The following is a 20,344-nucleotide window of genomic DNA, read 5'->3' as shown; positions in this document are numbered from 1 at the left end:
AAAAATGCCTTCAGAGTGCAGAAGAACAATTATTTCAAATTTAGATTTCCACACAAATTAAAATATAAATCGCGTGTGAACAAAGGCTGCCAAAGAGCCCGTCAAGATTTTTTAGTAAAATGATGGAATGAACCATGAAGAGGAAGATGGAGAGTTTGGAAACAGAATATCTAACAGGGAAATCAGCAAAAGGGAAGTCTCTGCTGGAAGGATGAGCATTGGGTCTAGAGTGCAACCTGTCTGGACTGGAGCAGGAGGACTGATCAATGAACAGGGGGAGGTAATATTGAGCACCTTTTCTTTTCTTTTGTTTCTTTTCTTTTATTTTTTCTTTCTTTTCTTTTCTTTCTCTTTTCTTTTCCCTTTTCCCTTTTCTTTCCTTTCTTTTCTATTCCTTTCCCCTTTCCTCCTTCCTTCTTTCCCTTTCCCCTTCTCTTTCTTTCCTTGTCCCCTTCCCTCCCCTCCCCTCCCCTCCCCTCGCCTCCCCTCCCTTCCCCTTCCCTTTGACCATGAGAATGCAGGTATTTCTTTACGATTTTGATTTCATTTCCTTTGAATAAATATTCAGAAGTGGGATTACTGGGTCATTCGGTAGTTCTAGTTCTAATATTGTGAGGAAATTCTTACTGTTTTACATAATGGCTATACCAATTTTTATTTTCACCAACCATGTGCAAAGGTTTTCCTTTCTCCTCATCTTCATCAACACTTGTTATCTCTTGTCTTTTTTTATAATAGCAATTTTAACAGGTGTTAGGTGATGTCTCACTGTGGTTTTGATTTGCATTTCCTGGAGAGTTAGTGATATTGACTAACCACCCTTCCCTTCCCCTTTCCCTTTCCTTTCTTTTCCCTTCCTGTTCCCCTTTCCCTCCCTTTCCTTTTTCCTCCTTTCTTCCTTTTCTCTCTCTTTCTTTTTCCTTCCTTCCTTCCTTTCTTTCTTTTTCTCTTTCTTTCTTTCTTTCTGTCTGTCTTTCTTTCTTTCTTCTCTCTCTTTCTCTCTCTTTCTTTCTTCTTTCTTTCTTTCTATCTTTCTTTCTTTCTTTTCTTTCTTTTTGAAATAGGCTCTTGCTCTGTCACCCAGGTTGGAGCAAAGTGGTGTGATCACAACTCATTGTAGCCTCAAACTCCTGGACTCAAGGGATCCTCCTGTCTCAGGCTCTTGAATAGCATGAGTAGATGGAACTACAGGCACATCCCACCACAAGCACTAATTTTTAAAATTTATTTTAGAGATCGGATCTCTCCATGTTGTCCAGGATGATCTTGAACTCCTAGCCTCAAGCAATCCTCCCCACTTGGCCTCCCAGAGTGTTGGGATTATAGGTGTGAGCCACCAACCCTTGCCTGAGCACCTTTTCTTACACTTGCTGGACATTTGTATATGCTCTTTGGAAAAATATCTTTGGAGGTCCTTTTTCTATTTTTAAATTGGCTTGTTTATTTCCTATTGACTTGTATGATTACTTATATATTTTAGACAATGTCTTATTGAATCATGGTAGGCAAGTATTTTCTTCCACTTGGTAGTTTGCCTTTTCATTTTGGTAATCTTTTTTTTTCTTTTTCTTTCTTTTTTTTTTTTTTGCTGTGCAGACAGTTTTTAATTTGATGTATTCTGTTTGTTCACTTGTTTTTCTTGCTTGAGATTTTGGTGTGATTTTTAAAAATAATCAAGGAACTTATTTGTTATTTTTAAGGAGTTTTACAGTTTCAGGTTTAAGTCTTTAATCCATTTTGAGCTGATTTTTGTGTATGATGTAACCTAAGAGTCCAATTTTATTCTTTTGCATGTGCATATCTACTTTTCCAAGCATTGGTCATTGTGTAGATTATCCTTTCCCCAGTGCATATTCTTCATGCCCTTGTGAAGATTTTTGATTATATATGCACAGTTTTATCTGTGGGCTTCTATTCTTTTCCATTGGTTTATTAGTCTATTTCTTTAATAATAAAAATAAAGCTGGGGATTCACATTTCTTGATTTCAAAATGATTAAAAATCTAAAATAATCAAAACAGTTTGGCACTGGTGTAAGGATGGAAGTATAAATCAGTTGGGAAAGAATAGTCTCCTAAACAAATTGTGTGGAACAGCAGGGAATCTACATGTAAAAAATGAGTTTGGACCCCTATTTGTAAACTAAAACTATAATGTGTTAGTAATAAAACTATAATGTGTTAAAAGAAACACAGATATAAATATTTGTGGCCTTGGATTTTGCAACATTTTCTTAAATATGACACCAAGAGCATAAGTGACATATCAAAAATAGACTAGACTTCATCAAAATTAGAAACTTTACCTCAGAGAATGCCATCAAGAAAATAAAAGACAACCAATGGAATAGGATAAAATATATGAAAATCATATGTTTGATAAGGGAAATATATCTATAATTAATGAACAGCTCTTACCACTTAATAATAAAATTACAAGTTACTTCTTTATAAAAATGTCAAAGGATCTGAGTAGTTGTTTTTCCAAAGAAGAGATGTGAATAGCTAATAGTACATAACAAGGTGCTCAACATTATTAGCCATCAAGGAAATGCAAATCAAAACCACAATTAGATACCAGTTTACATGAACTCTAATGGCTATAATAAGAAAGACAATAACAGATGTTGAAGATGTGGCAAAGTTGGAAGAATCATATATTGCTACTGGGAATATACAACACTGCAGCTACTTTGGAAAGCAGTCAAACATTTCCTCAAGAAGTAAACAGAGTTGACATATGACCCAGCAATTTCACTCCTAGTATGTACCCAAGGGAAATGATAACACTTGCTCATACACAAAATTCTACACAAATGTTCAGAGTAGCATTATTGATAATTAAAAATATTATTTTAAAGTTTATATGAGAAAACAAAAGACTAGCATAGCCAACACAACACTGAAGAAGAACAAGGTTGGAACACTCACACTACCAGATCTCAAGACTTCTATAAAGCTAAGGTAATCAGTACAGCATGGTATTATTAAAAGAATATACACAAGTTTAAGATAACAGAATAGATGGACTATAATAGGCCCACATAATTATAGTCAAGTAATCTTTGACAAACTAACAAAGGCATTTCAATAAAGGATGATCTTTACACAAATGGTGCTGGAACACTTGGATGTTCATATTCAAATAACGTAAGCCTAGACATACACCATACATATTTCACAAGTGCTGACTCAAAGTGGATTATAAGTCTAAAATGTAAAACTAGAACTATAAAACTTCCAGAAGAAAACATAGGAGAAAATGTAGGTGCTCTTCAGTATGCTCATGAATTTTAGATACAACACCAACAGCACAATCCATAAAAGAAAAAAATAGGTAAGTTTAAGTTATATTAAAATTTAAAACATCTTCTCTGAGAAAGACACTTTTATGAGTATCAAAAGATAAGCCGTAGACTCTAAGTAAACTTTAACAAACACATTTCTGATGAAGGGTTTTATACATAATATAAAGTTCAACAATAAGCAAAGAAACAATCCAATTTAAAAAAAGGTAGCCGGGTTCAGTGGCTCATGCCTGTAATCCCAGCACTTTGGGAGGCTGAGGCGGGTGGATCACCTGAGGTCGGGGAGTTCAAGACCAGCCTGACCAACATGGAGAAACCCTATCTCTACTAAAAATAGAAAAAATGAGCTGGGCGCGGTGGTGCATGCCTGTAATCCCACCTACTTGGGAGGCTGAGGCAGGAGAATTGCTTGAACCTGGGAGGCAGAGGTTGCAGTGAGCCGAGATCGTGCCATTGCACTCCAGCCTGGGTGACAAGAGCAAAACTCCATCTCAAAAAAAAAAAAAAAAAAAAAAAAAGGGTAAAAGATCTGAACAAACATCTGACCAAAGAAGATATAAAGAAGGCAAATAAGAACATGAGAAGATGTTCAACATTATTTTTCCTTAGGTAATTGCAAATTAAAACAATAAGTAGATACTTAGAATGGTTACAATAAGAAATTAAATATCAATTATTGACAAGAATGTGGAGCAGCAAGAAGACACATATGCTCACTCTGACAGCTGAGAGCACCTAGAGCAATAATACTCTAGAAGCAGTCAGCACATCTATCACCCAGATCTGGTTTGTAATACCATCCTCCAATTACAAAAATCCAGGCCTTCTGAAAGAAATAGCTGATTCTAGGAATGCTGCGGGAAATATATGAGATATACTAGCAGCCAATAAAAAAGTGCCAAAAATAAACCAACAAAAACACATCCCATATACACAATTATGGGTGTTTGTCAAAAGCACACAGGAGGCGAGGGAAATAGCTTCGGTGGCCAAAATTGGAATGATTTGAGCTACAAAATCAATAAAGTAAAAGTAGAGGGAGGTAGAGCAAGATGACCAAATAGAGTCCTCCAGTGACTGTCTCTCCACACAAACACTAAATTAAACAACTATCCACACAAGAAAGTACCTTCATAGGAACAAAAAAATTGAGTGAGTGACCTCGGTACCTGGTTTAAACATAGCATTAAGAAAAGAGGCACTGAAGAACTTGGGAAGTAAAGACCTGCGTTGTCTATACCACCCCTCTCTCAACTGCAGGTAGCATAGCATGGGAGAGACAATCTGTGTGCTTGGGGGAGGGAGAGTGAAGTGATTGTGGAACTTTGCACTGGAACTCAGTGCTGCCCTGTCACAGTGGAACATAGCACAGAGCAGAATTCTGCCAGCTCACACAGAAGAAGCATTCCAACAAGCCCTGGACTAGAGGGAGATTCCCGGCTTCAGTGGTAAAATCTTGAGTCTTGGCTTCTCCATTTGCTTGCTAAGGTGGTCTGGGGCCTGGAAAAAATTTGAGTGCTAGTCAGGCCACAAGGTCTACGGTTTAGGGTAAGCTCTGGTGATACACTTGGAGGCAGAGAACATATGGTGTAACCAAGTGTGACACCAGCTGTAGTGGTCAAGGGCTCACCTGTATTACCTCTCCCCAACTCCAGGCAGTGCAGTTCCAGGACAGACTCCTGCTTGGTGGATGGAGAGGGAAAGATGTGGAGGACTATGGCCTACAGCATGGATACCAGCTCAGCTCCAGTAAAATAAAGCACCAGGCAGATTCCTGAAGCCCTGGATTCTAGGTCTTTGCTTTGCTCCTGAATGACATTTCTAGACCCACCCTGGGACAGAAGAAAATTCATTGTCCTGATGGGATGAACCCAGTCCTGGCAGAATTCACCACCTGCTGACTAATGTGGTCTAGAGCCTTGAATAAATATCAGTTGAAGCCAGCCAGGTAGTAGTGGCTGCAGACCCAGGTGCAACCCTGCACAGTGCCAGCTGAGCTGGCCACAAGGGTGCACCCATCACCCCTCCTCCAACTCTAGGCAGCCCAGGGTGAAGAGATACTCCTTCTGATTGCAGAAAATAGAGAGAAGAGAGCAAGAGATGTTTCCTAGTAACCCAGCGGATTCTCCCTTATCTACGAACCCCCAAAATGTGAGATAGGTCTCAGTTAATTTAGAAAGTTTATTTTTCCAAGGTTGAGGATGTACCCGTGACACAGCCTCAGGAAGTCCTGATGACATGTGCCCAAGATGGTCGGGGCACAGCTTGGTTTTATATATTTTAGGGAGACATGAGACAGCAATCAATATGTAAGAAGTACATTAGTTCCATCCAGTAAGGCTGAGACAGCTCAAAGCAAGCCCCCCTACCCCCACCCGTGAACATTTCAGCTCTCCATGAGTCCTGAAAGTTTTTCCTCTATTCTGATGTCACAATCTCCAGAGTTATCAGAAACCTGCATTTAAGAGCACCTGTAGGAGTTTTATAGCTGATTATAAAGCTACCTTTTAAACAAGACCAAAACAAGACAATCATGTCCAAGAACACTCCAAGAACAATTGTCTGTGGATGAAAAAAAAGGTGTAAGGCAATCATAGTCAAAAGACACAATTGACAAGGAAATTTGTTATATCTGTGGTTCACTAATTTTGACATAATGATTATGATTATTACTGATAATGTACAATAAGTTATATCAGAATTACAGGAGTTTCCTATAATTTTGGAACACATACTAATAACATATTTATACAAATACAGCCCAAAGAAAACCAAACACTATTTCATATTTGACAATGCTTCCTGTATAATTTTTATACCCAGTAAGCCAAACTATGTCATTTTTTTGGACTTTAAGGAGCCTAATGTCTTAAAAGATTAATTAGGTTACAAAAAGACATAATTTATAATTTGATTTTGGAAAGTTTGTCAAATATAAAAGGTTTTAAACACTTGATATTACAAAATAAGATTACAGGTCATTGTAAAGTCATTTAACCAAAGTGATAATTCAAGGATTTCCAAAAAAGTAAAAACCTTCATTCTTTGAGCAAGGAGACTTAATTTTCTAACTAAAAATTCTAATTAAAAACAGCATGAAGCCAATTACATTTGTTTTTCAAAATTTTGTAAACAATCAATAAAATTTAATTTTGATTATAAAATATAACTTCCATAAGCCTTTTATAACCTTTATTAAGGAGTTGGTTAATGTTTCAAGAAAACCTTATTGATCTGACATGGGAGTCTATATACTGGTTTTGCATCACTGTGCCTTCTATACTAATGATTAATTTATAGAGGAATGGAACTTATTTTATCTTTCAAAATTTGCCCTTACAATCTTATGCTCCCACTTGTTCTGCAATAGTCCTTGGCCTGGGCTTTGAGGAATTGAATAGCTTATTCTTTGTCCTGTGTCTCAGGAATGTAGTTTATTTTGATTGGCATCTTCTATGGGGCCTGAAGATGAGGCTTTAATTGCTGTCAGTGTTTAAGATTTAGCAGGACTCTGTGTCCTTTTTAGACCCAGGAGTTAAAACCCTGTAACCCAATGTTACAATGACTTAAAAGAACATACAGGAAAATACATGGATGTAATAACCTTAATTTAAAAAAATTATCTCAGTTTTTGTTTTCCTAAGCAAAGCAAAACTGACCATATAATACTTTTTCTTAAATAAAATTATTTTTCCTTAAGCATGCCTATAAGATTAAGAACATAGCCACAAAAGGGTAAATCTAAGAGTTATTGGCCTTAAAGGTGATGCAGAGAGAGAGATGGGGTAGAAAGTTTATTTAAAAAATAACAGCGAGAACTTTTCAAACTTAGAGAAAGACATGAATATCTAGGTACAAGAAGGTTAAGGAACCTCAAAAGATTCAACCCAAATAAGACTACCTTAAGGCAGATGACAATCAAATTCTCGAAGATCAAGGATAAAGAAAAGACCCTAAAAACAGCAAGAGAAAAGAAGCAAATAAAATATAGAAGAGTTTTGATACATCTGGCATCAAGCTTCTCATAGGAAACCTTACAGACTAGAAAGGAGTGGGATGAAAGGTTCAAAGTGATGAAAGAAAAATTCCAACTTAGAATATTATATTCATTAAATTATCATTCAAACATGAAGGAGAAACAAACCCTTTCCTAGACAAACAAAAGCTAAAATATTTTATCAATACCAGACCTGTCTTATAAGAAATTTTAAAAGGAGTTCTTCAATCTAAACAGAAAGTACCTTAACAAGCAACAATAAATCATCTGAAGGTATAAAACTCACCAGTAACAGTAACACAGAGAAATACAGAATTCTCTAACACTGTAATTGCAATGTGTAAAACCATGTATACCTTTAGTGGGAAGACTAAAAGACAAATTAATAAAAAAAATAGCTACAACAACTTTTAAAGAGATAGACTAGATAAAAAGATATAAATAGAGATAACAAAAAGTCAAAAGGCAGGGGAAATGGACTTGAAGACTAGAGTTTTTTACTTTTCTTTTTGTTTTTTGTTTGTTTCTTTGTAATCACAGTTAAGTTGTCATGAGTTGGAAATAATTGATTATAGAATGTTATTTGCAAGCCTCCTGGTAACATCCAAAAATACCTATAAAAGATATGAAAAAAATAAAAGCAAGAAATGTAAACATATCACCCAAGAAAAATCACTTTTACACAAAGAAAAATAGGAATAAATAAATAAAAGTGAGAGAACCAACAAAACAACTAAAAAACAAATAATAAAACAACAGTGTAATTCTTACTATCAATAAAATTGAGTATAAATAGTCTAAATTCTTCCCGAAAAAGATGTGACTGAATAAATAAATAAATAAAACCCAAGGCCCAACCATATGCTGCCTACAAGAAATTCACTGCACCTATAAAGACACACATAGACTAAAATTTAAGAAATGGAAAAAGACATTTTATGAAATAAGAACCTAATAAAGCAGGAGTAGCTATATTTCTATCAGAAAATACAGATAAAATACATTTGAAGATAAAAACTATAAATAGAGACAAAGAAGGCTATTATTTAATGAGAAAAGGGTTAATTCAACAAGAAGATATAAAAATTGCAAATATATATGCACCCAATGCTGGAGCATTAGAAGAAATAAAGAAGATATTACTCAAGCTAAAGACAGATATAATAATACCTGGTACCTCAACATCCTATCCCAGAATTGGACACACCATCTAAACATAAAATTAGCAAAGAAATATCAGATTTAACTGCACTATAGATCAAATGGACCTAATAGACATTTACAGAATATTTTATCTAACAGCTTGTAGAATACATGTTCTTCTCCTCAGCACATGGAATATTCTCAAGCTTAGACCACATGTTAGGCCAAAAAACAAGTCTCAGTTTTTTTAAAGAAGTTATATTAAGTATATATTCTGACCACAATGGAATAAGACAAAAAATCAATAACAAGAGGAACTTCGGAAACTCTACGAACAAATGAAAATTAAACAATGTGGTCCTAAACAACATTAAATGAATGAAGAAATTAAAAGGAAAATTTAGAAATTTCTCAAAATAAATAAAAATAGAAACAATGTATCAAAACCCATGGGATATAGCAAAAGTGGTGTAAGAGGAAAGTTTATAGCAATACGTGGCTGTATCAAAAAAGTAGAAAGTTTCCCATAAACAACTTAATGATGCATCTTAAAGATCTAGAAAAGCAACAGAAAATGAAACCAAAAATTATTAGAAGAAAAGAAATAAGATTGGAGCAAAATAAATGAATTTGATAATAAAATAACAGAAAAGATTAATGAAACAAAAGTTATCCTTTTTCTAAACTCCAAAGGATGTAAAGAAAAGGCAATATTGATTCAAAGTCTATCTCTATCCAGATGAGCTGAATGAATTTGGGCAAGACATTCAGGATTTCAAGATACGAGATTTCTACTGAGGAAATGTGTAAGAATTAAGGCCTAATCGGTAGTTTATATATATAAAAAGTCTAGTAGTGCATAGCAGATAGGTGGATAGGTGTATAAATTAGTTTTCTTTCATGTTTTTACTTTTAAGTGATGAAAAGATATTTTTGTTTAGCTATTAGGAATTTTCGTAGGGAAAGAAAGGGAGATCAGACTGTTACTGTGTCTATATAGAAAGGAAAGACATAAGAGACTCCATTTTGAAAAAGACCTGTACTTTAAACAATTGCTTTGCTGAGATGTTGTTAATTTGTAGCTTTGCCCCAGCCACTTTGACCCAACCTGGAGCTCACAAAAACATGTGTTATATGAAATCAAGGTTTAAGGGATCTAGGACTGTGCCTTGTTAACAAAATGTTTATAAGCAGTATACTTGGTAAAGGTCATCACCATTCTCTAGTCTCAATAAACCAGGGGTACAATGCACTGCGGAAAGTCGCAGGGACCTCTGCCCTTGAAAGCAGGGTATTGTCCAAGATTTCTCCCCATGTGATAGTCTGAAATATGGCCTCGTGGGATGAGAAAGACCTGACCGTCCCCCAGCCCAATACCCGTAAAGTGTCTGCGCTGAGGTGGATTAGTAAAAGAGGAAAGCCTCTTGCAGTTGAGATAGAGGAAGGCCACCATCTCCTGCCTGCCCCTCGGAACTGAATGTCTCGGTATAAAATCCGGTTGTACATTTGTTCAATTCTGAGATAGGAGAAAAACCACCCTATGGTGGGAGGCGAGACATGTTTGCAGCAATGCTGCCTTGTTATTCTTTACTCCGCTGAGATGTTTGGGTGGAGAGAAACATAAATCTGGCCTACGTGCACATCCAGGCATAGTACCTTCCCTTGAACTTAATTATGACATAGGTTCTTTTGCTCACATGTTTTTTGCTGATCTTCTCCTTATTATCACCCTGCTGTCCTACTACATTCCTTTTTGCTGAAATAATGAGAATAATAATCAATAAAAACTGAGGGGACTCAGAGGCCGGTGTCGGTGCAGGTCCTTGGTATGCTGAGTGCCGGTCCTCCTGGTCCCACTGTTGTTTCTCTATACTTTGTCTCTGTGTCTTATTTCTTTTCTCAGTCTCTCGTCCCACCTGACTAGAAATACCCACAGGTGTGGAGGGGCAGGCCACCCCTTCACCTAATAGCTTTGTTTAGCTATTAGGAATTTTCACTACTTTCTGCCTCACTTATGCATGATGAGCATCACTTTCTGTGAATGCTATGAACACATCAACAACATTCATTGAAATCACTGCAGATTGGTGGAATTTCTAACAAATAAGACAAGAAATAATACTAGGGTGAAAAGCAACTTGATTTAATCAATACAGTCAGAAATGGCGCTGTCATATATGATGAGCAATTAAGCAAACTACATGAAAAATTTAAATCCATAGGCATTTCAGTAAAAATAGACTTATTTTCAACCAGAGATAGAAAAATCACCATCATACAGATACTCTATTTCTGAGAACTTGAGAGAAAGTTTTTAAAATTTTAATTAAAACATTTAAATTTAAAATTAAAATTTCCATCAGTAAATATAAAAATTTTCTTCATTAGAACATAAAAATCCCATGTGAATCCATATTCAATATAATCTTTTGAATGAATTCAAAGGAAGTTGAGAATAATATTCAAACATGCGATTTACTTCTCACAGATAGTGTTGATTTAAAAGGGATTAATAGTTTCAAACTTAGAATATGACTGATTTTGCAAGGTTATGCTCAGGATTCCAGAAATTTTTCACAAATTTTGAATGGAAGTAACTTATATATGCTGACTTCCATTCTAGTATTTGTTGAAAATTATAACTACTTGCAATGTGACAACTATTTCCTAGGGTAAGTAATTGAACTCTGAATCCATTTGTAACCTCAAATTAAGTACTTAGAAGCAAGATGGTGGAATAAGAGGCTTCCTTGATCATCATCCTTTCCCAAGGACACAAATTTAACAACTATCTAACAAAAAAGCACCTTCATTAGAACAAAAAATCAGGTGAGTACACACAGTACCTGGTTTTAACTTCATGCCACTGAAAGAGGCACTGATGAGATAGAAAAAACACTCTTCAAGTGCCAATGCCACCCCTCCTCCACACACACTCCTCTCAAGGCAGTGGCTTGGTACAGAGAACATTGTTGTGTCTTGGGGAGAAGAAGAGTGAAACTATTGTGAGGCATTGAACTCAGTGATGACCTGTTATAACAGAAAGCAAAACCAGACCAACTCAGCTGATGCCTGCCCTCAGAGAGAGCATTTAAACGAGCACTAGCCAGAGGAGAGTCGTGGATCCCAGTGGTCAGACCTTGAGTTCTCACAAGCCTTGCCACCACAGGCTAAAGTGCTATGGGGACCTAATAAATTTGAAAGGATGTCTAGGCCACAGGCACTGAAACTTGGAGGCAAGTCCTAGTGCTGAACTTGGCTCAGAGGCAGTGGAATGCGGGGGTCACACAACCTACTCAGACACCAGTCAGGATGGATAAGGGAGTGCTGGCATCATCACCCTTCCAGTAACCCCAGGCTGCACAGCTCATGGCTCTAAAAGAGATTCCTTTCTTCCACTTGAGGAGAGGAGAGGGAAGAGTAAGGGGGACTTTGTCTTACATCTTAAATACCAACCCAGCCACATAAGTTAGTGTACTGGTCAGAGATGTGAGGCCCTTTTTCCAGGGCCTGGTTCCTGGATGACATTCCTAGACACATCCTGGGCCAAAAGGGAATCCACTACCTTTAAAGGAAGGATTTTAAAGGAATGCTGCCAGCCTGGGCAGCATTCATCATCAACAAGCTGAAGCGCATTTGGGCCCTAAATGCCAGCAGCGATACACAGGTACACATCAAAGGCCTTGGGTGAGACTGTGAGACTTGCAGACTTCAGGTGAGACTCAACACATTTCCAGCTGTGGCAGCTATGGGGCAAGATTTTTTTCCGCTTGAGGAAAGCTGAGAGAAAAGTAAGGGGATTTGTCTTGCAGCTTAAGTGCCAGCTTGGCCACAGGTGGGTAAAGCATGAAGTGGGCTCTTGGAGTCCCTGATTCTAGAACGTGGTTCTTGAATGGCATTTCTGGACCTGCCCTGGGCCAGAGAGGAACCCACTGACCAGAAGGGTGAGTCCCAGGCCAAGCAGCATTTACCACAAGGTGACTTCAAAGCCCTTGGGCCTTAAGAGAATATCAACAGTAGTCTGGCAGTATTCCCCATGGGCCTATGGTGGTGGTAGCCACAGAGTGAGGCTCCTCTGCCTTTAAAAAGGGGAGAGAAGAGTGAGAAGAACTGTATCTTGTGATTTGAGTTTCAGTTTAGCATCAGAACAATAGAATACCAGGTAGACTTCTAAAGTTGTTGACTCCAGTCCCTGCCTTTTGAACAGCACCTCTCAACCCTCCCAGGGCCAGCACCTCTAAAACTCTCTAAGAGCCTAGGGGAACTCATCACCCAGAAGGGAAAGACACAGGCCTGGCTTGTGCTGCCATCTGTTGATTGTAGAGCCCCAGGACCTTGAGCAAACAAAAGTGGTAGCCAGGGGGTTGTTACATCAGGCCTTGGGTGAGACTCAGGGCTGTGCTGGCTTTAGGTCTGACTCAGCACAGTCCTAGTGGTGGTGGCCACAGGGGTTCTTGTGTCACCCTATCCCCAACTTCAAATTCAGAACTGAGAGGGAGAGAGACTCCATCTGTTTGAGGAAAGCAAGGGAAGAGAACAAGAGTCTCTGTCTGGTAATTCAGAGAACTCTTCTGGATATTGTCCAAGACAATCAAGGTGATAACTCTACAAGTCTGCAAGAACCACAGCATTAGTGGGCTTCGGGTGTCCTCCAAAGCAGATAAAACTTATATCAAAACATCCATGTCCTCGTAGATATCTGTAAAGCCTTTTCAAGGAGTACTAGTACCAACAAGCCCAGACTTGCAAAGACTACAATATACCTAATTCTTCAATGCCCAGACACTGACAAACATCTAGTAGCATAAACACCATCTGGAAAATCATGACCCCACCAAATGAACAAAATAAGGCACCAGGAACCAATCCTGGAGAAACAGAGATATGTGACCTTTCAGACAGAGAATTCAAAGTAGCTGTGTTGAGGAAATGCAAAGAAATTCAAGATAATGCAGAGAGGGAATTCAGAATTCTATCAGAAAAATTTAACAAACAGATTCAAACAGTTTTTAAAAAGCAGAAATTCTGAAGCTGAAAAATGCAATTGGCATACTAAAAAATGCATTAGAGTCCTTTAATAGCAGAATTGATCAAGCAGAAGAAAGAATTAGTGAGCTTGAAGACAGGCCATTTAAAAATGTACAGTCAGGAGAGAAAAGTAAAAAAAATTAATAAAAATAATGAAGTACAACAACAGGATCTGGAAAACAACTTCAAAAGGGCAAATCTAAGAGTTATTGACTTAAAAAGGAATACAGAAAGAGATGGGGTAGATAGTTTATTCAAAAGGATAACAGAGAACATCTCAAACCTAGGGAAATATATCAATATCTAATTACAAGAAGGTTATAGAACACTAAGCAGATTTAAACCAAAGAAGACTACCTCAAAGCACTGAATAATCAAATTCCCAAAGGTCAAGGATTAAAAAAAAGATTCTTAAAAGCAGCAAGCAAAAAGAAACAAATAACATACAAAGGAGATACAATAGGTGTGGCAACAGACTTTCCAGAGGAAACCTTAGGACCAGGAGAGAGTAGAATGACATATTTGAAGTGCTGAAGGAAAAAAAGTTTTACCCTGGAATAGTGTGTCCAGTAAAAATATCCTTCAAACATGAGGGAGAAATGAAGACTTTTCCAGAAAACAAAAGCTGAGTTCATAACGGCAACTTTTAAATTGTTAATGTTTTCACAGTCATTAAGAAAACATTTATGATTCTGAAAACTGGTAATTTATTTATTCTCCTCTTTCTATGTAAATTTTATCTGTCTTGTACATTCAGGATTGCCTTAATTAAGGAAGTAAAACTTTGAATTTTTAGAGAGAAAAAAAGGGAGGGAAGCAGGGAGGAAAGAAAAGAGGGAGAAAAGACAAGGCAAAGGAAAGGAAAAGAAAAGACAGCTAAGCGGGAAGAACGAGTGAAACAAGACTCCACTACTATCTAGAAAAAGTGATGACAACATTGCTAAATTTTTTCATTCCGATACTTCACAAAGTCAGAGATAAAGAAAATATTCTAAATGTTTCCAGGTAAACAATAGAATGGGAATCAGAATAACGTGCAATTTCTCCAAAGCAGCAGATCATGCTAGAGTATAAAGGAAGCATAACTTCAGCGTTCAGAAGAAAAATTATTTATAACCTAGAATTTTAAAGAAATCAAATTATTAATCATGTGGAAAAAAATTGCCAAAGAGCAGTCAGCAAAAAGAGGGAATGAACAATTAAGAGAAAGATGGAGAGCTTGAATACTGAGTTACTTAAAACAGGAAATCAAAAATAAAAGTCTCAGCAGGACGGCTGAATATTGGGTCTAGAGAGCAAATTGTCCAGACTGGAGCAGGAGGGTGGAGGCCACCAGAAAAGAAGTCTCCAGGGTAAAAAAAGAACTCATGATTATTTAATATGGTTGATTAATTTGATGGATACATAATGGATGTGAATGAGCAAATAGGAATATGAAGTTTTTATTAACTTTAAAAAAATTTACAGGTGTAAAGAAAAAGAAATATAAGCATGGTAAACTAGTTCTTGTATTTGCATGTCCCTCATAAAAAGTCGTTATTGAATTATAAAAAATTTTGTTGGGCCGGGCACAGTGGCTCATGCCTGTAATCCCAGCACTTTGGGAGGCTGAGGCAGGCAGATCACGAGGTCAGGAGTTCAAGACCAGCCTGGTCAACATGGTGAAACCCCCGTCTCTAGAAACAAATATAAAAAATTAGCTGGGCACAGTGGTATGTGCCTGCAGTCCTGGGTACTTGGGAGACTGAGGCAGGATAATTGCTTGAACCTGGGAGGCAGAGGTTGCAATGAGCCGATATCATGCCATTGCACTCCAGCCTGGCCAACAGAGTGACATTCCATCTCAAAAAAAAAAAATTATGTTATATCATCAAGAATGAAGGGAAGGGGAGGTGTTTAATAAATAACTTAATATTCATTTACTGTAATGGGAAATTGATTAATATGATTAAAACTGATACTGAGAAATATAAGGATAAATTTTCAGAGAAATCGTTTAAAAAATTAGAAGGTTGTTGTGGATGAAATACCTAAGTCATGGTAGGCAAGAGACTGTAGTTTTTGGAATTCACCTTTTAGTACTATTTTTAAATCGTATTGTAAATATACATTAAAAAATAAAAAGGAGCAAAAGCACAGAGACGAGTTTGAAGCTAATGATATTGTTCAGGTGAGAGATGAAATTATGTACATGTGGTGTAAGTGGAGAGATTTGGCACATTTAAGATAGACTTCAGAGACTAAGTTGACAGATATCATGAAAGTTTGGTTGTGATAGGAGACAGAGTTGTGTGGGGTTCTCTTAATTTCTGCCTTGCCCAGCTGGTTGGAGGATGTGACCATCATAATGGAGAAGACCAGGGGAGGACCATGTTTAGTGGGAAATTCAAGACTTGTGCTTTGATCATGTTGAATTTGAGATGTCTTTGCAACATTTAAGTAATTATGTGAAGTAGGCAGTTGCACATGTGAGACTGGAGAGCAGGGAGGATATCAGAGGTGGAAATATACATTCTGAGCCATCTTCATATTGATGAAATTAAAGGCCAAAAAAAAAAAAATAGATGAGGTCACATAGAAAGAAAGAATAGAGTGAATAGATATTTTATATATAAATGTTATAGAACCCTAACAATAGACTTTAGGTAGAAGCATAAGAGTCTTCCTCAATTATAACTTATAGCTTTTTAGTTTGATTGCCTTTTAAAATGTCCATCTTCCCTCCTGAGACAGAAGTGTACGAACTAGAACCGTCTTGTTTTTGTTGTACAAACGGGCTAGAAATAGACCTCTCTGTGTATGCATGTACATGTGAATGTATGAGCATAAATGTACAAAAAGGAGACATAAGAAATCAGTTAGAGAAGAGTTTGTCAATAAATGCTTCTGGGACTACTGGTTAGCCATAAATCAAATTTTAATTCTCACTTTATAACATTATAAAATAAATTCCAGTTGGTTGCTGTATATTAAAAATCAAACTATGAAAAATGAAGGAAATACAAATTTTGTCTACAAATATATATCTAAATGACAGGAAGATATACATTTTAACATGAATGGAAGAGATAGTTACCCAGTTGTCCCACGGCTACTGAACAATCCTTTATTTCCTTGTTATTTGTGATGCCCTTCTTATTTTATATGAGAGTTTACTTTTGAACAATCTGATTTGTTCTGTTGGTTTGTTTATTGATTCTTGATTTAAAACCAAACTGTTATCATTATTGGAATTTTATCATATATTTTAATATATAACACATAAGGTATTTTTTTTATTTTCTAGAAAAATCTAGAATATGAAAAAATTTTAAATTCATTTTGCCAGGTTCCCAAAGAAGTTCTCCTGAGTGTTTATTTGAATTAAATTAGTTTATAAATATTTTTTAGAGAAACAGCCAAATAAAGTTATATCTTTAATATGCCATATACTAAATAAATTCCAGGAAGAATCAAGAGTCAAGTTGCAAAAATTTAAAATATCAAAAAAGGAAGGAGGAGGAAAATAGGGAGAAGGAGAAGAAGAGAAATAAGAAAAGGAGAAAAAGAAATATTGGTTAATAGTAGACTGGATTAAAAAAGAAATTCTGGATGAAATGCATGAAAGAGATCATAGAAAAAATAAGTAAATATGAGTATATTAAATTAAAATATTTATAAATATCAGAAACAAATACTAAGACTATCAACCCACAGAAGAATTATTTGCCACAAATAGTTGTGATGTCTTTTCTCTGTAAACAATGATATAAATAAGAAATAAAACAGACAAAACAAAAATGACAATTCATAAAAGTAAAAATGGTCAATAAACACATAAAATATTGGTACAGCTTACCATTACTCAAAAATAAAACAATGTCATTATTAATATGTTTTAAAATGTTTAATGAGTGTTAATATGTAAACTGTAGTTATATATAATACATAGCCAATAACATGGTTGATGCCTTCAAGAATGAAAAGGAACTTAATTATGCTTCTGGCTAAAGTAGACCTTAATCTACTCTGTCCAATTTGTTATAAGTCACAATTAATTATTCTGCAAAATAGAATATTTTGTAGGTGAGCCTCTTTGCATGTGTGTATGTGTGTGTCTGTGTCTGTATATGTCTGTGTATGTGTGTGTGTGTTCCTTTTCATTTTTTTTCATTCTTGCAATCTTATCTAAATAAAACTTCATTACCTTAAATATAAATTACTGCAATTAGTTTGCTTCTAGTCTTTTCCACTCTAAAGTAATCCACATGTGTCTCTCAGGTCAGTTTTCTGAAAGAAAACTATCATTTCACTTTTCTGCCAGGAAATTTTAAATGTTTCAAACACGCTACATAGGATTGGATATAATGTCTTCCATTAACTAGGAAACATTAATCAAAGAAGACTCTTCTACACATTTAAACATTTAACTTTCATGCTATGTTGATTAATTGAGGTTTAGGATAATACTCTCTGACAATTCCATGAGAGTCATGAAAGGTAGTAATAACAGTTACCAGTGAGTTTCCCCGATTCATTCTGGTTGTGGGATTTGGATAAAGATTTGTGAAACAATTTTGAAATTCCATTGATATATTTTTTAAACAAACATAGCCTAATGATTTATAAGCTTACATTTTGTGTAAAATCACATATTAATTTTTCTATGTTCCCTCTTTATGAAAGCATTTTAATAAATTAAAAATAAATTTGCTATAGAGCAAGTTTGTTTAAGAATGTTATAATTCCTCATAATTTTTTTAAGAACATTTATGACCTCCTTATTTCTCAGACTATAAATAAAAGGGTTTAGTAATGGGATTACTATTGCATAAAATATTGCCACTGGTGTATCTTTATCTCCTTCTTCAGATGGTCCAATATACATGAGAAGACAAATGTAAAATATTGAGACAGAGAGAAAGTGGGATGCACAGGTAGAAAATGCTTTACCTCTTCCCTCCTTGGATTTCATTTTGAAAACAGTCAAAAGGATGCAGAGATAAGAGATCAAGACAGTAGCAATGGTAAAGATTTGAATTGGTATTGAAAAGATATATATCATTAGTTCATTAATAGAAGGATCTGTACAGGAGAGTCTATACAGTGGAAGAATATCACAGAAAAAGTGGTGAATTTTATTAGACCTGCAGAAAGTTAACCTTAATAAAAGCCCTACATGAATCATGGAATGCAGGTTTCCAGCTTTGAAGGCCCCTGTGGTCATCCGAATGCAGAGCGTCTTGGACATCATGGTGTGGTACTGCAGTGGGTGGCATATGGCCACATAGCGGTCATAGGCCATTGTCGCCAGAAGAAAGCAGTCTGTGGTTTCAGCAAGACAGAGAAAATAAAATTGTGCCATACATTCATACAGGGAAATAATTCTATCCTCAGAAAAGAAATTCTCTAACATCTTGGGGGTAACAGCACAGGAACAGCAGGAATCCATCAGAGCCAGGTTGCCCAGAAAGATGTACATTGGTGTGAGAAGACGACGCTCTACATAAATTAATGCCACCAGACCAAGATTCCCCACCATGGTGACCAGATAGATGGCAGAGAACACCACAAACAGAAGCGTCTTCAGCTCTGGATAATTTGTAAATCCTATGAGGATGAATTCAGCTGCTAAGGAGTGATTTTCCCTAGCCATTCCTGGCTTCTCTTCTGAGACATAAATTGTAAAGAAATGTAAGATTCCAAAGCAGAATGTTTCTAATTCTCACCCTCTAATTTCCCTGTATACAAAAGGGAAGAAAGTCTTCTTCAAATTATCCTGTGCCATCTCCTAAACACTAGCACACTCACTGTGGGTCAAATCAAGTGAGAAAAAATGTATCATGGATTGTGTACCCAGGGCTTGTCTGAAAATATCTGTGTGAATTCCTAGGGCAGGAAAGCTTTATCTGCATGAATTATCCTATGCCGATGTAAAATCTGTGGTCAGTACATATAATTTTCCATTTCCAAAATTAAGACATTTTCTTATGGTATCTTTTCCTCCAGGAAAAAGTAAACAAGTTTTAAATCGTATCCTATTGGATCAATGTGACGCTTAAAATGAATTACTCTTAAGGCATTTTAAATGTCTACATTTTAAAAACTGCACAGAAACACAGTGATTTGAAGAATGCTTTTGCTAGCTTAGTAACCCTTTCCAGATAAGGTCACCAATTGCATATTTTATGAGATATCTACTCATCCTTTTAGAGAGGATAAGAATATGAAACATCTATGAGTGTTCTTAATCATTGTATTGGATATCATTTTTATGTTCATTTCAACATATTCTAGATACTATTCCAATCTTGGTATGACAAATTTCCCAAGGAGTTATTACTCTTAATTGCTCACTTATCCTAATACTTTCTGTCTCTAGTTTTAAGAGTTTTACATGCATGTCCAACATTGTAAGATTTGGTGGCAAAATCTCCACTCATAATGTGAATATTCTTCATGGTAAATATCTATTTTGTATTCACTCAAACATCTCTCATAGAAAGTAATGTCTTCATTTTCAGTGAGTTCTATGGAGGTTCTCCATTTATTTACTTGAGTTTTAAATTTATTTAAATTTACAAACTCATTATCTACTCTTTACTGGCTATATATTTATTTGAGTTTAATGATCAACTAAATTTATTATATAGTTCTTATAGTTTGGCAACTGTACATTAAAATATTTCAGGTACAGAAACAATTTGAGTTTTAAAGAATAATAAAATTAACTTTCTTTTCTTTTAGAAGTTTCTAAAAGTCTTTAGCCTTAGCATACTCCAAACAGACAATTTTGGAGAAGAGCCTACGATAGTTAATTCAAAGCACATTTTTTTTTTTTTTGAGACAGAGTTTCAAGCACTTCTCCTGCCTCAGCCTCCCGAGTAGCT

General features: G+C 35.9%; 1 protein-coding gene and 1 long non-coding RNA gene across 3 annotated transcripts, besides 1 other annotated feature; one reads left to right on the top strand and one right to left on the bottom strand.

Annotated features, from left to right (window-relative positions):
- Positions 1-4,355: 4,355 nt before the first annotated feature.
- Positions 4,356-5,086, top strand: LOC105374000 (uncharacterized). 2 transcript variants are annotated; one of them, XR_924261.2, is made up of 2 exons: positions 4,356-4,855; positions 4,963-5,086. It is a non-coding gene; the product is annotated as an uncharacterized LOC105374000 (long non-coding RNA). The 2 variants fall into 2 exon arrangements; XR_924262.1 differs by having other exon boundaries at positions 4,708-4,755.
- Positions 12,531-12,590: an enhancer, noted in NCBI's record as "active region_20135". NCBI's record gives its function as "activates an Ori minimal core promoter by ATAC-STARR-seq in GM12878 lymphoblastoid cells {active_cell/tissue: GM12878}" and the evidence as "EXISTENCE:reporter gene assay evidence [ECO:0000049][PMID:35858748]".
- OR5K4 (olfactory receptor family 5 subfamily K member 4) lies at positions 18,145-19,110 on the bottom strand. Its single transcript, NM_001005517.1, has one exon. It carries the CDS (start codon positions 19,108-19,110, stop codon positions 18,145-18,147), a length of 966 nt encoding a protein of 321 aa, NP_001005517.1.
- Between the last annotated feature and the right edge of the window lie 1,234 nt (positions 19,111-20,344).

Source organism: Homo sapiens, chromosome 3 (genome assembly GCF_000001405.40).
Source record: "Homo sapiens chromosome 3, GRCh38.p14 Primary Assembly".
Classification (NCBI taxonomy): Eukaryota; Metazoa; Chordata; class Mammalia; order Primates; family Hominidae; genus Homo; species Homo sapiens.
This window is presented reverse-complemented; position numbering and strand designations above follow the sequence as displayed.